The sequence below is a fragment of the Homo sapiens genome, chromosome 13, assembly GCF_000001405.40.
Source record: "Homo sapiens chromosome 13, GRCh38.p14 Primary Assembly".
NCBI lineage: Eukaryota > Metazoa > Chordata > Mammalia > Primates > Hominidae > Homo > Homo sapiens.
This window is the reverse complement of record NC_000013.11, coordinates 46119495-46135682: the sequence shown is the minus strand read 5'-3', so window position 1 is coordinate 46135682 and position 16188 is coordinate 46119495. Positions and strand designations below refer to the sequence as shown.

The 16188-nt window shown below is 42.1% G+C and overlaps 1 protein-coding gene across 4 annotated transcripts in view, besides 2 other annotated features; it reads left to right on the top strand.

Moving 5' to 3' along the window:
- Positions 1 to 9760, top strand: part of LCP1 (lymphocyte cytosolic protein 1) — a 56255-nt gene extending 46495 nt beyond the window's left edge. For all 4 annotated transcript variants that reach the window (NM_002298.5, XM_005266374.3, XM_047430303.1 and 1 more), the window contains 3 exons: positions 1433 to 1556; positions 4745 to 4869; positions 7960 to 9760. In NM_002298.5, the coding sequence (NP_002289.2) occupies positions 1433 to 1556; positions 4745 to 4869; positions 7960 to 8092 (382 nt within the window). In that variant the 3' untranslated portion in view covers positions 8093 to 9760. The remainder of the gene's footprint in view (positions 1 to 1432; positions 1557 to 4744; positions 4870 to 7959) is intronic.
- Positions 10123 to 10232: an enhancer, noted in NCBI's record as "active region_7690". NCBI's record gives its function as "activates an Ori minimal core promoter by ATAC-STARR-seq in GM12878 lymphoblastoid cells {active_cell/tissue: GM12878}" and the evidence as "EXISTENCE:reporter gene assay evidence [ECO:0000049][PMID:35858748]".
- Positions 11243 to 11312: an enhancer, noted in NCBI's record as "active region_7689". NCBI's record gives its function as "activates an Ori minimal core promoter by ATAC-STARR-seq in GM12878 lymphoblastoid cells {active_cell/tissue: GM12878}" and the evidence as "EXISTENCE:reporter gene assay evidence [ECO:0000049][PMID:35858748]".

The window sequence follows — 16188 nt, the reverse complement described above, 5'->3', positions numbered from 1 at the left end:
GAGCTAATTGATTTGAGGGAGACTTACGAGGTGTAATTGATAGGACATCACTGTCAGTTTAAATGTGAATTTTGATAAAGAAAAGTTGCACAAGCCATTTTCCTTCCTCTCTTCAATAATGGGAAGGTGTTTTCACCTAGAAGAAGCAGGGCATTGCTCTTATTTCAGGGACTAAACTTGAAAACCATCTGGAAAGTCACGGGAGAACTGTACTGTCCATAGGAGCAGGAACTAGAGGAAGATACCCGATGGATTATGTAAGCAAAATCCTAGAGCACACAAGTGGAGGGTGACCTGAATTTAGGTAGAACCGGTCAGATGAGATTCAGTCACAGGATTCTTGAGTTTCAGTTTGAGAAGCACACACTGTAATTCTAGCCCTGAAGGTCTTTCATGTGTAATTTGATCCCCTCCTGCCAACCTGAACCATGAAGTCCACAAACCCATGTGTTCCTGGACTGCTGGGCTTTCTCCCATGCATTTCCCTTTCAGAAGTGAGTAGCTTTAGGGAATGGTGGTTCTTCTCTGCTCCAGAGACAGTGTGGGTTTTTTTTTTTTCTTTTTTTTTTTTTTTGAGACAGAGTCTCACTCTGTTGCCCAGGCTGGAGTGCAGTGGCACTATCTCAGCTCACTGCAACCTCTGCCTCCCAGGCTCAAGCAATCCTCCTACCTCAGCCTCCCTAGTAGCTGGGACTACAGACAAGCGCTGCCATGTCCAGCTAATTTTTTGTGTGTGTTTTTGGTAGAGACCGGGTTTCGTTATGTTTCCCAGGCAGGTCTGGAACTCCTGAGCTCAAGTGAACTGCTCACCTTGGCCTCCTAAAGTGCCGGGATTACTGGCGCCTGGCCTAGTCTATAGAATTTTAAGAGGTTAAAGCCTCTTCTTAATAAATGTCCCCCAACCCCTCCAAAACAACAAACAAACCAATTCTCATAACAGTAGGTATCTAAGGTAATTCTTACCTTCAGACTAAAGATTATCTTTGTCAGCATATTTCTAACATTTTTACTTATATAAGGCAAAAAGTATTTTATACTTTTTCTTTATCATGTAGGCTACTCAGACTTTTCCAACATTGAGTTATTGCTTGATTTTTTATCTTTTTTAAATTGCCACAGGTTGGAATCTTTTCCTTCATTTTCCTTTCCTTGCATTTTTTCCCTTTGGCTTTTTCTTTTTGCTCAGAGCAATGATCATGCTTAGAAAGGAGGTATCTGCTTTACATTTCATTATACTAGCCATAAAGTCACGTCTTAAGTTATTCTAAAAGGAACTAATGTTGTAATATGTTCTTTTTTTCTCTCAAATGTAATGGTGTCCAGACTGTCTTCTATGACATACCCGAAAAAAAAATTCCATCCTTAGCTACTTTTTGTTTATATTAAATTCTTTAGCAACTGTTCTCCAGAAAGCATTCTTTATTTTGTTCAGGTATACACTGAATATCCTCGAAGAAATTGGTGGTGGCCAGAAGGTCAATGATGACATTATTGTCAACTGGGTGAATGAAACATTGAGGGAAGCAAAGAAAAGTTCATCCATCTCTAGTTTCAAGGTAAAATTCTTTGTCTTCTGCTAGAGGCCATCTGAGCTCTATGCCTATCTGTATTGTTTTCATTATGTGTTCAAGTGACCTTCAGTGGTAGGTATTAGAGGCTCCCCCTCCCATTTCAATTTTGCTTAAATGACTCGTTATTGTTTTGATGTTCATCAGCCATTTCATTAATGAATTTCTCAATACTTTCTCCCATAAGTTAATCATAAAAACCCATCAGTAAAAAAAATTTCAACTTTTATTTTGGATTTAGGGGGTACATGTGCAGATTTGTTACATGGGTATATTGAGTGATGCTGAGGTTTGGGGTACAAATAAATCCACCAGCGAGGTATGGAGCATCGTACCCAACAGGCAGTTTTCTAGCCCTTGTCCTCCTCCCTCCCTCCCCATTCACCTAGTTTCTACTGTCTATTTTTAATTTTAATTTTTATATTTTTAATTTTAATTTATTTTTTAATATTTTTTATTATTTATGTTTACTTTTCATATCTGTTTTTTGTGACAAGGTCTCACTCTGTCACCCAGGCTGGGGTACAGTGGCATGATTGTGGCTCACTGCAGCCTCAACCTCCTGGGCTCAAGTGATCCTCCTGCCTCAGCCTCCTGAGGAGCTGGGACTACAGGTGCACACTACCATGCCCAGCAATTTTTGTTTGTTTGTTTGGAAATGAGGTCTCACTATGTGGCCCAGGCTGGTCTTAAATTCCTGGCCTCCAGAGATCCTCCTGCTTCAGCCTCCCAAAGTGCTTTGGGATTATAGGCGTGAGCCACCATGCCTGGCTTATTCCCATCTTTATGTCCATGTGTACTCAGTGCTTAGTTCCCACTTAAAATCCATGATTTTAAAAGCAAGATTTTAGGCATTGTTCTTTCAAAGTAATATAAACTATGATAGTATTCGTAAAATGTGGGCACCTCCATGATTCAGATTAATATTATAATGGTGACATGTAAAATGCTCAAAGATCTCCCTTGTGATGTTTTTTGTAAAAAAGCAGTTGTGTACTTCTATCTAAATCTCATTTTTATTAATAGCAGCATTTTATTAAATTTCTTGACTCATGTTTCATGCATTAACTGGATTCCTCCTCAAAGGACGTGTGCACTTGATCCACATCATCATAATGCCTGTGCCATCTTAACTACATTTTTCTAGCTTGAAGGTCAGGATTAGGGGGAGGAACACCTTCCGAGTTGTATTAACAGGGTTGGTGAGGTGGTTCGTCATGATATCCATCCTGTGTTTCAAAATCAAGAAAAAATGAAAATCTCTTTCCACAAGCAGTAGCAGAAGATATTGTCAGGGCAGGGCTGTCGCAGGAGTGTCCACCTGCTGTGAGCTCATCACAGATAACCGTCACCTCTGCTCTATCTCCAGCCTACTGTTCAGTCTGGAGAGCTGAGCAGAGTTAGGAGTGGATGCTGGTCACTGATGCAAGCAGATTCTTCCAGAAAGAGATTTGGAAAGGCGGCAAGCAGATTCTTCCAGAAAGAGATTTGGAAAGGCAGTAAAGAAAAGCAAAGTTGAAAGGAGCTCTAGATATTGAATGGGCTCTGGCTACCAGGGGCTCCTTGTTCATGTCTTAGGGCATCTTCGCTGACATTGTGAAGCTGGCTTTACTGTTTTCCTCATTTTATAGGTGAGGACATCAAAGCTCAAGTAACTTCCTAAGAGTATGGCTAGTAATTGTATGTGATGGTCCACAAATGGGAGGAAAATGCCTTTTACCTGTGGGGTGAGGCTGTAGAGTGTAGTGTATCTATAGGTCACTTAGCTGTTAATATGAAGTGGCCAGTTACATAGCCCAGGGGTGCTTCTCTCCGTAAAATAGCTGCTGCTCCAGCCCATTACATTAGGCTGTGGCTTCTGGGGTGTTCTTATGGGGACAAGGTTTGACAAGCGATGCTGGGGTTCACTATTAGAAAGGTTTGGCAATTCTTTTGCTCCTTGTAACACTCGGGGCTCATTTTCTCCTGTCTTCTTAGTAAGTTGTTGCAGAATTGATTAAGTAAAAGAGGCCACATAATGTACTGAAAGAAATGTCATACTAGCCCCACATTCCTTTTATGTGAAGCCCTTTTAAAAATGAACACAACCCACTCTTTAAAAAAAAAAAAAAAAGATTCAGAGAGTACATTTGCAGGTTTGTTACAAGGGTATATTGTGTGATGCTGAGGTTTGGGTTTCCATTGAACCAGTCACCCAAATAGTGAGCATAGTGCTGAACAGGTGGTTTTTCACCTTTAACCCACTTCCACCCTCCCCCTGCTTGTATTTATCAATGTCTATTGTTCCTACCTTTATGTCCATACATACTCAATGTTTAGCTTCCTCTTATAAGTGAATAGATGCAGTATTTGGTTTTCTGTTACTGTATTAATTCACTTAGGATAATGGCCTCCAGCTGCATCCATGTTGCTGCAAATAACATGATTTTATTCTCTTTTGTGGCTGCATAGTATTCCATGGTGTATATGTACCACATTTTCTCTATCTAGTTCATTGTTGATGGGCACCTAGGTTGATTCCATATCTTTGCTATTATGAATAGTGCTGCGATGAACACAAGCATGCAGGTGTCTTTTTGGAAGAATAATTTATTTTCCTTTGAGTATGTACCCAATATTGGGATTGCTGGTTCAAATGGTAATTTTATTTTTAGTTCTTTGAGAAAACTCCAAACTGCTTTCCACAGGGGCTGAACTAATTTACATTCCCACCAACAGTGTGTAATCATTCCCTTTTCTCCACAACCTCACTGGCATCTGTTATTTTTTGACTTTTTAGTAATAGCCCTTCTGAATGGTGTGCAGTGGTATCTCATTGTGGTTTTGGTCCTCATTTCTGTGATGATTAGTGATGCCGAGCATTTTTGCATTTTTTCATATGCTTGACACAATCCACTATTTTAACTTTACGTCTTTCTCTAGTTGTGCTAACTTCCTTCCATTTATTATTTGAGAATGACTACCTGCTGTTGGTAGACGGTGGGTTTTCTGGGAAGTTACTGATGCTCCTACAGAAACTACAGTTTATTTGAAACACTATGTGGAATACTGCTGCATTTCCCAGACCAGGCTGTATATATTATATATTTAGGAAGAAAAAGCCACCCACTTCCTTTGAGCTGAATGGGAGTAACTTTGGGACACGTTGATGAAACCCTCCCTGTGTCTCTGCATAGGACCCGAAGATTAGTACAAGTCTGCCTGTTCTGGACCTCATCGATGCCATCCAACCAGGTTCCATTAACTATGACCTTCTGAAGACAGAAAATCTGAATGATGATGAGAAACTCAACAATGCAAAGTACGTAAATAAAAATAAACCTCAGATTGGGAGGGAAGGACCCAACTGGCAGCTGGATGGTTGTAAAGTCTAATGCTCATGCCTTTATACAAACATTTCATTTTCACTATCCGTGCTTTTCCTTCTCATGACTTTCTGCAGTCTCATCATCACTGTTTTGGATATGGGACAATAGTAGTTTAAAACTTCTAGTGCCAGAATGGGAGCAAGACAAAAAAAAAAAAACAACCCAATAATGAGAGTATTCTTGTAATTGATAAGCAAGCCTATAGTTTCATAAAACCAATTTCCTAACCAAATGCTCCATTCATGAATATTCATGGATAAGAATGCACAGGGGTAGGGTTCCACAGCAGAGCCTTTGCCAGTGTGAAAGCCACTGTCTTGTGTTTTACCATTCAGGTCACCTGCCAAATGATTCCTCTAGAGTGAGTATCAGCATATTACAGTTTCTGAGCCAGATCTGCCCTGTTGTCTGCTTTTCTAAACAAAGTTTTATTGAAACAGAGCCTATTCATTTGCATCTTGTCTATAGCTGCTTCCCTGCTATAACAGCAGAGTTGCATAGTTGCAACAAAGCCTAAGATGTTTACCATCCAGTCTTTTGCAAAAAAAGTTAATGAACATCTGCTCCAGACAGGTGCTTTTCTCAGATCAGATTCCGTTAGTTTCCTTGGGCTGCCACAACGAAGTACTGCACAAACTGGGCAGCAGAAGTTTCTTCTCTCACAGTTATAGGAGCTAGAGGTTTGCAATCAAGATGTTGGCAGGATTGGTTTCTTCTGAGGGAGAATCTGCCCCATGCCAATCTCTGCCTCCATCTTCACATGGCATTCTTCTTGCGTGTCTGTGACTTCACACGGCTGTCTTCCCGCTTTGTGTTTCTCTGCGACACTTCTTTTCTTAGAAAGACACCAGTCCTACTGGATTAAGGTCCCACCCAACTCCAGCATGACCTCGTCTTAACTACTTACATCTGCAGCAACCCTCTTTCCAACTAGGGTCATACTCTGAGGTGCTGGGGGTTAAGACTTCAGCATATGAATTTCGAAGAGACACAATTCAGCTCATACCACAGGTCTAGAAGATACAAGTATCTAGTGCCCGGCATCCCTGCTTTATAATCCCAACAGAGCCCTTCTCTCTGTTCCCAGTTTGGGAAAGTGGGAACCTGTGCTCTCGGGATGCCAAAGTTTAACACAATTTAATGGAGAGAAATAAATAATTAAACTAAAATTACAATAGATTGTGATGAGAGGTGTGGAAGGGACAGTATGAGGCATCCCTGAAGGGATAGGAAGGGGACTAGAGCTCTTTAGAGCAAATAGCAGCTCAGCTGAGCTCAACTGAAAAGACAAGTAAGAAGGAAGTAGACAGGTGAAGGAGAGAGGAAGAATGTTCCAGGCAGAAGGAAAAACACATATGAAGACCCAGAAATTGTAAAAAGCCTTCAGCCCAGATGTTCAAGGGGAGTGTGATTAGGTTTAAGAAACTTGCCAAGGCCATACAGTTTTTCAGTTGTGCAGCTGAGATTCAAAGTCCAACTTCAGAGCCCAGACCCCTAAGCACTCTCCTGTGAGGGCGAGATACAAAATTACTTAGAAAAAGGGGTGAAAGAAATTACACAAAATGCGAAGAATGGTTATGTCATGGTGGCAAGATTGTGTGTGATTTTGTTTGAAGCTCCCTTTTAATTTTCAGACCGTTTTCCCTCTGTGTTTTATAATGGGGAAAAATTAATTTTACTTTGTTAATAATTAATATGGAAGAAGTTATTGAGAGAGAGACAAGGAGAAAAAATGGGACCACTCATGCCTGATGCTCTTAATTTAATTTGATCAATAAAGTAAAAGTAAAGTAATTTTAGGAGAGCAGGAGGTAGTAAATGTGGGCTTGGGTAGAGTGAAGAGTGTCTGGTGTAACCATAGTAAGAGGTCACTAGATAATAAACGAGGTGAATAAAAGAACTGCCAGGTAGTAGTGTGGGCTCATTTGAAAATAAATTACAATTAATGAAATTTATCTTCATATATCTACAAATAGAGCAAAAATGTTCTGATGCAGCTATTATCATTCTATGTGAAAATATGGAATATAAATCTCTGGCTACTCTATATTATAGTACCATAAATAAGTACAAATATATGTGGGCAAGAATTGGAATGGAACAAAGAATAAAAAAATTGATGTGTAAGGCTAGGATTTTTTTTTTTTCTGAGACGGAGTCTCACTTTGTTGCCCAGGCTGGACTACAGTGGCACGATCTTGGCTCACTGCAGCCTCCGCCTCCCGGGTTCAAGCGATTCTCCTGCCTCAGCCTCCTGAGTAGCTGGGACTACAGGCGCACGCCACCACGCCTGGCTAATTTTTTGTATTTTTAGTAGAGATGGGGTTTCACCATGTTGGCCAGGATGGTCTCGATCTCCTGACCTTGTGATCCACCCGCCTCGGCCACCCGAAGTGTTGGGATTACAGGCGTGAGCCACCGCGCCTGGCCAAGGTCAGGATATTATACATTTTTCCTCTTTTGTTCCTTGTCAAAATGTTACTGTAGTTGAAATGTAGTCTGCAAACTTTTCCTAGCACACATGTTTATTCAGTTCTGTGACTCTTTCTGCTATGCTGCTATGTAGCCCAAGAGAATACTCCTGGTGTGAGTATCAAAAGTGGCAGCACGTGCTGTAGTGGCTCACACCTGTAATCCCAGTGCTTTGGGAGGCTGAGGCAAGAGCTTCTCTTGAGGCCAGGAGTTCAAGCCCAGCCTGGGCAACATAGTGAGACCCCTGTCTCTACAAAAAAAAAAAAAAAAACTTAACTTAAAAAAAAGGCAGGAGCTGAAGAGGTCTCCAAGGACAAATAATACACTTGATAATGATCACGAGACTAGCCAGCAAGTCTGATGCTTTGTCAGAATCTTTGGTTGAGCCAAAATTTGTCCACAAAAGTGTGAGGATGCTGGTGACTGACTCCAGCCACTGCAGGAGTGAGTTCTGTCCTGACTATGGAACGACTGTGACTGTGACCCTCCAGGGTCCCATTCGTGTTGTGTTTCTCAGGCTCTCCTTATTTTTCCTCTTTTCTCCCTTTTAGATATGCCATCTCTATGGCCCGAAAAATTGGAGCAAGAGTGTATGCCCTGCCAGAAGACCTGGTTGAAGTGAACCCCAAAATGGTCATGACCGTGTTTGCCTGCCTCATGGGGAAAGGAATGAAGAGGGTGTGAGGCCCAATGGGGCTGGGTGGGAGGCGGTGCACTCACTCCTGACTGCCCGGCACAGATGCTCCAGGGATGATTCAAGCCATTCCAAAGTTCAACTTGGTGACACTCTATAAGATTCCAAAAAGCACATATTAGTGCAGCCAAGTAGCCTCTCCTGTATTTAACAAAAAGTGCTTCATTCTTTGCAGGAGGCCCAACCTCCTATATATAGGTTTCTATTCTTGATTTATTTGCTTCTTCGAAAATCTAGAGGAAAAGAAAGAAGTTATTTTCCAGGTACCCTTCTCGCTTTTGCCATTAGCCAAGGATAGAAGCTGCAGTGGTATTAATTTTGATATAATCTTTCAAACCAGCTTCATGTGGCTTCCCTTTTCTTTGTTCAAGATGAGGGCCAGGAGGGGAAACATCACACCTGCCCTAAACCCTGTTCCTGGAGGTCAGCATTTGATCTGTTGCAAGCCCCTCTTTCTGTCCCCTCTTCCTACCCTGCCTCCCTTGACTTTGCTCCTCACACTTTTGGAACCATGCCTTCCGGGGGGGCCCATCTCTTCTGGCCGTCCTTGTCTCTGGGCCACTTGGAGTGTGTGATAAATCAGTCAAGCTGTTGAAGTCTCAGGAGTCTCTGGTAGCCTGCAGAAGTAAGCCTCATCATCAGAGCCTTTCCTCAAAACTGGAGTCCCAAATGTCATCAGGTTTTGTTTTTTTTCAGCCACTAAGAACCCCTCTGCTTTTAACTCTAGAATTTGGGCTTGGACCAGATCTAACATCTTGAATACTCTGCCCTCTAGAGCCTTCAGCCTTAATGGAAGGTTGGATCCAAGGAGGGTGTAATGGAGCATCAAGCCACTCGGCGGCAGCATGGAGCTATAACTAAGCATCCTTTAGGGTTCTGCCTCTCCAGGCATTTAGCCCTCACATTAGATCTAGTTACTGTGGTATGGCTAATACCTGTCAACATTTGGAGGCAATCCTACCTTGCTTTTGCTTCTAGAGCTTAGCATATCTGATTGTTGTCAGGCCATATTATCAATGTTTACTTTTTTGGTACTATAAAAGCTTTCTGCCACCCCTAAACTCCAGGGGGGACAATATGTGCCAATCAATAGCACCCCTACTCACATACACACACACCTAGCCAGCTGTCAAGGGCAGAATGAATCTATGCTGGATAAGAAATGGTGGAACTGCGTTATGAAGAGCTAATTTACTGGACAAAGAATTCCAAAGCAAAACCAGAACAGTATGAATTTGAGCAGGTCTCATAGGTTGAGCAATTTCCCCCTAAACCAACTGAAGGCTAAAAAGCAACAGGCCATTGTGAACCAATGCAAGACGCCCTCTATCATGGTGAAAAGCTCCATCAATGAGGTATCTTCTTTAGTGGTGGTATGTAATGGAACTTAGCCATTTTTCAAAGCAATTGAAATGCATTGCTCTGGATCTGTTCCTTGGCAGTGGACTCAGAAAGCCAACATGTGGCTCCTCCCAGCCCATAACCAGTATTTTTGCTGCTTCTGAATACAAATTGGTTGGTTTTGACTTCAGATTGAACTTACTGTAGCCTCAGATGATTTCCCCCCTCCGCCTCCAGGAAGAAAGAATGTTACTGCCTTAATAAAAAATGAAAAGAGAATGATGCTCAAAATCTTTCCAAATAAAATGTTCCCTATATTAGGTGTCTCTGGATGTTTCATTTTGAAAGTTTGCTGACAGTGTGCTATAAATCGTTCATTCATTCATTCCTCCAACACGTTCGAGTGCCTAGTATGTGCAAGGCACAGTGCAAGGTTTTAGGAATGTGCCTATGAACTAAACAGGCACTGTGCTCAGCTGATGCCTGTCTTAGGAAAGACGGAAGTTAAACAATTAAAATAACAGATGTGACGAGTGATAAAAAGAAGGGCAGGGTGAGACATGAGTTTATGACAGGAAACAGTCTGAGGAGAAATAGTTTAGCTAAAAACTGAAGAATAAATTTCCGTTAGGCAAAGCAGGGAATAAAATTAAAGCTGAGAGCCAAACTCAGAAATACACTGAACTTGTAGGAGTGAAGAGGTGTGATACCTTTCCTCACCTATCATAAGAGTCACGGCCAATACTATGACAAAAGATGGGTAACAAGAGAAAAGGGTAACATATTTCTTTCATCAAAGTTTTACATGACATGGGAGCTTTTAGAAATGAAAACCCAAAGATCCAAGGAAAACTGTTCATTTTTATGCTTAGATTTAATGCAGAATGAACGGCCAGGCAGAAATGTGATTGGGCAAAAGGCTGTGATCTAAGGCTAATAAATGGAAGGGGAAGCCCAGCAAGGCCTGTGTGTTCCGATTCTTCTTGGCTGCAGTCTGTAGCATTTTTTCCTCCAGGGATCAGGGCAGGACCCCCCTGGAATGAGGGTCTTATTACCTACTATCAGGCAAGGTAGGTCAGAGAATTTCTTTACCGTCACTGTCTACACAGAAAGGCAGGGGAAGGTTAGAGTAATTTTTCTAGGGTTTTATGGCTTGCTTTGGGGGAAAGGGGTTCTAGTTTCTATGACCCTCCTTGAGAAAGAGGAATTCTGCTTTCTGCGAGTTGCTTCAGGGGAGAAAGAAGAGGAGGAGACAGGAGGGCAGGAGAAGATCGGAGAGGGAGACCTTGTTTCTGAGGTTTCCTTGGAGGCTTTCCAGTCTCCTTTAGTTCAAAGTACTCTGCACACCAAAGTGCCACACTTTGGGGTTTCATTTTTTTCTGAGCCCCAACAAACCCGATCATAAACCAAAGTCAGACTTGGGGATTGGTGCAAAACAATGTCCAGACTGATTCGAGGAGGAATCTTTGGGGTGAGCAGCGCCCGAGATCTCCTCTCCAGCTTGGCGGGGCCTTACTTGGGAAGAAGTGGGGGTGCACTGCGGGGATGCAGAGGAGTTCTGCTGCAGCCAACTTCCTCAGTTAGGCTGCTGTGACAGAGAAGCTGGCCGTCGATTTGGCATGATCACGCTTTGACCTGCAGAGGAGCCACCCACCCACACAGCAGATGGGAAGCTGGGCTTTTGTGCCTAAGCTGTGTGTCCGGGCTTTACCAGCAACTTCTTCTTGGAGGTAGCTCCTTCCTGGCCTAAACACTGCTGCACCTTCTATACTTAGGAGGTCACTCTGTTCCCAACATATCAAGAGGCTATAGATATTGTTTCTTTCTATTTGTACTAGACTGCACTGAAATTCCCCTCCTAATCAGCAACCACTGTTAACAATTTCTTTTGTATCCTAGAAATATTCTGTGCACATATCACACCCACACATCCTTTTTATAACAAATATCAGCATACCATAAACATCACTCTTTATTCCATTTTTTTTTTTACTTAATACCGTGTCTCGGATGCTGTTTCATATTGGTGCATACAGACCTACTTCAATCTTTCCAACAGGTACATGGTCTTCTACTATATAGGCATACCAAACTCCATTTAACCAGTGGTCTCTAAATAGATATTTAAGTTGTTTTAATCTTCTGCCCCGAAAATAAGGCCACAATGGATAATATTATACCCACTTCTTGAGCACAGAATGTTAATTTTAATTCAACAGGTACTTATCAAGTTCCTTCTCTAGCAAAAATATAGCACATTGGGTAGTCAGACATGGATCCTCTTAAGTTTCCTCAAGTTATTTTATTAAAAACCCTAAGCTGGGACAGATGCTTTAGCCAATCCAAACTTCTCTGTTTTATGTCTAAAGAAGCGTGTTAACCAGCACGCATGCACACATAAACCATAATAAAAAGCAGAATGTGATCAATGCGATAACAAATTTCTAAATTAAATATCATGGGACCTCAGGGAAAAAATTAATTCTGAATATAGGATCAACAAAAGTTTTTGGAAGAATTCAGTTGTGATGAATGAGAAGTGGGCAGGAACTGGGCCTTACTCTTGCTGTTGTTCCCTACAGAACCAGGGACATTTCTAGATTTTTAGTAAGAGTTTCGTAAGTTTTAAAAAATTGATTTATATTAGTTATAAACAAATGTTTCCTGAATGTAGGAAATGCTGAACAGAAAGAAGTAATTGTGAGATAAGTTGTGAAATAGACCTACCTGCGGAGTATTTAGAATAGAATGGATTCCTGTCTGGAAATTATGACATCTGGGTTGGTCTGATGCAATGCATTGGATTATATGACCTTTTAAAGTATCAGTCAACTTAGTGATTTTGTTCACCTAGACTCACATTCACACACACACACACACACACACACACACACACACACACACACACACAGCCCTAGTCTGTCCCTGGGAGCACAGTTGTGATCTCCATTGTAAAGACCGGGTAAACTCTTAGCCTGCCTTAGATCAGCCTATTTCAGACTGAGGCTTAAGGCACGGGACATTTCCATGTGCTCTCAGTCCTTGGGATGAGCCCTGGGCCCACCTTCCTTACATTTACTATGCCTGTCGTCACTGACCTCTGTTCTTTGTTCCACCCAGTGTGCAGATGGGCTTGCAGTAAACGCCAGCAGTGCTATCTTCGTGAACTTGGCATTGTTTTGCCCAGTACGTTCCTGCCAATTTCATGATCCAGAAAGCAGAGCTGATGCTCAGAACAAGTTAGAGGCATTGACCGATCCTCTTATGCAATCTAGTCACTTTGACAGTTTCCTAATAAAATTCCTGTAATTAAATTTTAAGCTGTCAAAGAGGGCTCTTACTCAGTATGCTTTCTCCCTATTTCTGAAAGACAGTTTACCAACTGAGCCTGTGAATGAGTGACAAAAAGAAAACTGCGTAAATGTTTTCTCATGCCTAACATCTACATATATTTAATAACCCACATCAGGCCAGGGACAAAAACAGGTAACCTAGTCATTGCCCAGCATGTCACCATTAACAACTCAGAGACAGGTCAGTAAAATGACAGGAATTTTTTATTTTATTTGGCAAGTTGGAATTGGAGAGTTCCACTTAAACATATATTTTCGTTAATGGAAATCTAATATACATCATTTAGAGAATTAGAATGCACACAAACACTGAATTCTGAAGGTATACGGAAGCTAACATAAAAACTGTTGATTCAGCAGTCATTTCTGGACTTGTCTACACCATGGGTCCACTGTTATAAGTCGCAATGTTCAAACCTGCTTGCTCTAAGTGTAGTGCTCAGACCGGGGGCATCTAGGAGCCGGTTAGAAGTGCTGAATCTCAGCCCTTACCCCAGACGTACTGAATCAGAATCTGCATTTTAATAAGATTCCTACGCACATTAAAGTTTGAGAAATGCTGTCCTAGAAGAATAAAGGTCTCGTTAAAAGATCTACAGTTGATGGAAGGCTAAATTAGGCTCTTTTAAATTAAATTACACTTTCTCACTTACACTGGACTCGAGAGAGTGAAATAACTTCCCATGAATGTTTCCCGATCATCAGTATTCACTTGATGTGGCCAGAGTGGCTCTTCCCTCTGTTTGGGTACTTCCTCCACCACCCAGCTTTGCCCTTTGCTGTGCCCCTTCCCTTGGTTTCCCCCTTCCAGGTGGCACTCGCTCTAAGAAGCTGATCTTCTGGTCCTGCTGGCACCTGCATTGTGTCTCTTGACATGATCTCTTGCCAGCTGCCCAGGGCTGCCTCTTTAATAGATCTGACCCAGTTTGTGCCACGTCACTCAAGTCTTCCCTCTTATCCCTCCACCGCCTGTCAAACTGGCTTTTCTCCCACCATGCCTGGAGCAATCTCTCTATGACTTCCAGTGACAGGGAACTCATTAAATAGTAAACCATTACTATTCCAAGGCCCTGCAGTGTCTACTCTTAACCCCCTAAGCAGGCACTTTGCAATGACTTTCTGGGGTTACAATAGCCTCATTGTTAAGTCTGCCAAATGCCTAATAACAAGGAGAAAGAGGAAAATGTCTTCCAAGTAGAGCGACTATCATATGCAGTGGTCCTGAGGATGAATGAAACTTGATATCTTTGAGGAACTGAAAGACAAGGATAACTGATGGGAAGCAAGAACGGCCATATCATAAGAAGCAGCGGTACTTGCAAAAAGCTTAGGAATCACCTGGGGAGCTTATTAAAACACATTTTCCAGATCTCACCTTGAGACTCAGTGCCTATAGGGCTGGTGAACCTAGCAATCTGCATTTCCCACAAACATCCAAGGAGATTCTGCAGCCTGTGACTTACAGACCATACTTCAAGAGGAACTGGTGTAGACCAGCTGTTCTCAATCCTGACTGCACATTGGAATTATCTCAGGAGTTTTAATCAATGCTGATGTCTATACTCCTCCCTACAAGAGTCTGACGTAATGATCAGATGTGCAGCCAAGGCAGCTGGGTTTTTAAAAGATCCCCAGATGACTCTAATGTGCAGCCAGGTTTGAGAAATGTTGATCTATAGCCTGGAGTACTGCGCCAAAGAGCAGGCACAGGTGGAACATCTTAACAGTTGGGCAGAACAATAACAGGCACTGTTGATTCAGAAAGTAGGAATGAAGGCATGGACACATTGCACAGGTAAGCTTTGCTTTCTTCACAATTTAGCCATCCAATCAACAGGCATTTGCCTGTCTGGGTACCCAGTAACCCTCTTAAGTGCCACAGGCCTCAGGCTTAGTCTTGCAAGCCAAAGCAAGGTCATTAGTACCTGGGATTGAGTTCTCTGCGTTCAGGCCTCAAATCCCCTTTTTAAATGGCTTCTGGGCTAGCCTCATCTTTCCTCCCCCTTAGAAATACAGGAGGCCAGATACCCCAAGACACTGTTTAAATTATAAGACTGGTTCACTTTTCATGAATAAACATGAGAGATAATGTGTGAAGGGGAAAAACATTTACCAATCATGCGTCTTCAAAACCTTCCAAGATTATGCAGCTTTAATGGCTGAATGATTTTGAAAGAAAAACTTGTAAATGGAGCTGCACCTGAACTCATAATAAAAAGGCATCAGATTAATTGAGTCTCAGAGCTTCCCTAACAATAAGCCTGACCTGCATATCCAAGTTGTGGCCGGCCAAGGCCAAGAGGGCATTTGCCCTTAGTCTCAGGCTGCTCCAGTTTGACAGAAAGTCAAGGCAGGCCACTCCTGACAGGGTACACTAATAAGGACAGAGGGTTAGGGCACTTCAAGAAATACTTGCCATATTATTTTTGCTACTCATTCTTCTAAATTGGCTGGAGAACAAGTTAGCTGGGTCCTAGGGTCCACGATCCAGTCAGATAGATCGGCCAGAACTAGATGGCCTCTTGAGGTGGTGACTCATCACCTAACTCTCAGAATGCAGCAGAGGAAGACTAGCTGTTCCCAAGATCCTGATGAACTAGATAAGCCTCCTGCAGAGAACACAGGAGGCTTCCTGGCTTCCTGCCAACTCCCTTCCTGGTTTATCTTTTTCATGTGAATTTTAATATATTGAGAACCTGCTTTTGCCAGTTAGTTTAAATGTTACCCCATTCAATCCTCACAACAGCCCTCTGAGGTAGGTTACAGAAGAAGCTGCATTTCCAGAGGCTGAGATTTGCCTAATTACCCAGCTAGGCATGGGATCCGTCGGCTCCAACTTCTGTGTTCTTTTTGCTCCCCAGTAGAGGTGACAGGATCCACAGAGAGGCATCTCAAAGAGGGATAAAGAATGAGAAGAAATTTGTCTTTCCCTCCCTTCCGTTCTTCCTCCCTCCCACCCTTTCTTCCTTCCTTTCTTGCTTCCTTTCCTCATTCTTTTGTTCTTCCATTCTCTATTTGTACATACAATAAAATTCAACTTTTAAGTGTTAAATCTGAGGAATTTTAGCAGGATACAGTTGTGTACCTACCACCACAATCAAAATATAGAATACTTCCACCACTCCAAAACAATTCTGCTGTACCTTTTCAAAGGTTAATCCTCTTTCACCAGCTCTACCCTCTGGCAAAAACCAACCTACTTTCTGTCTCTGTAGTTTTGCCTTTTGTAGGGTGCCATATAGATGGAGCCATACAATATACATCTTTTAGCGCTAGCTAGTTTTATTGGCATCATGCTTTTGAGGTTTTTCCACCTTGTTGCTTGTATCCATGGTCTTGTCCTTTTCACTCTTGAGTAGCATGTCATTGTATGAATGCACCACAATTTGTTT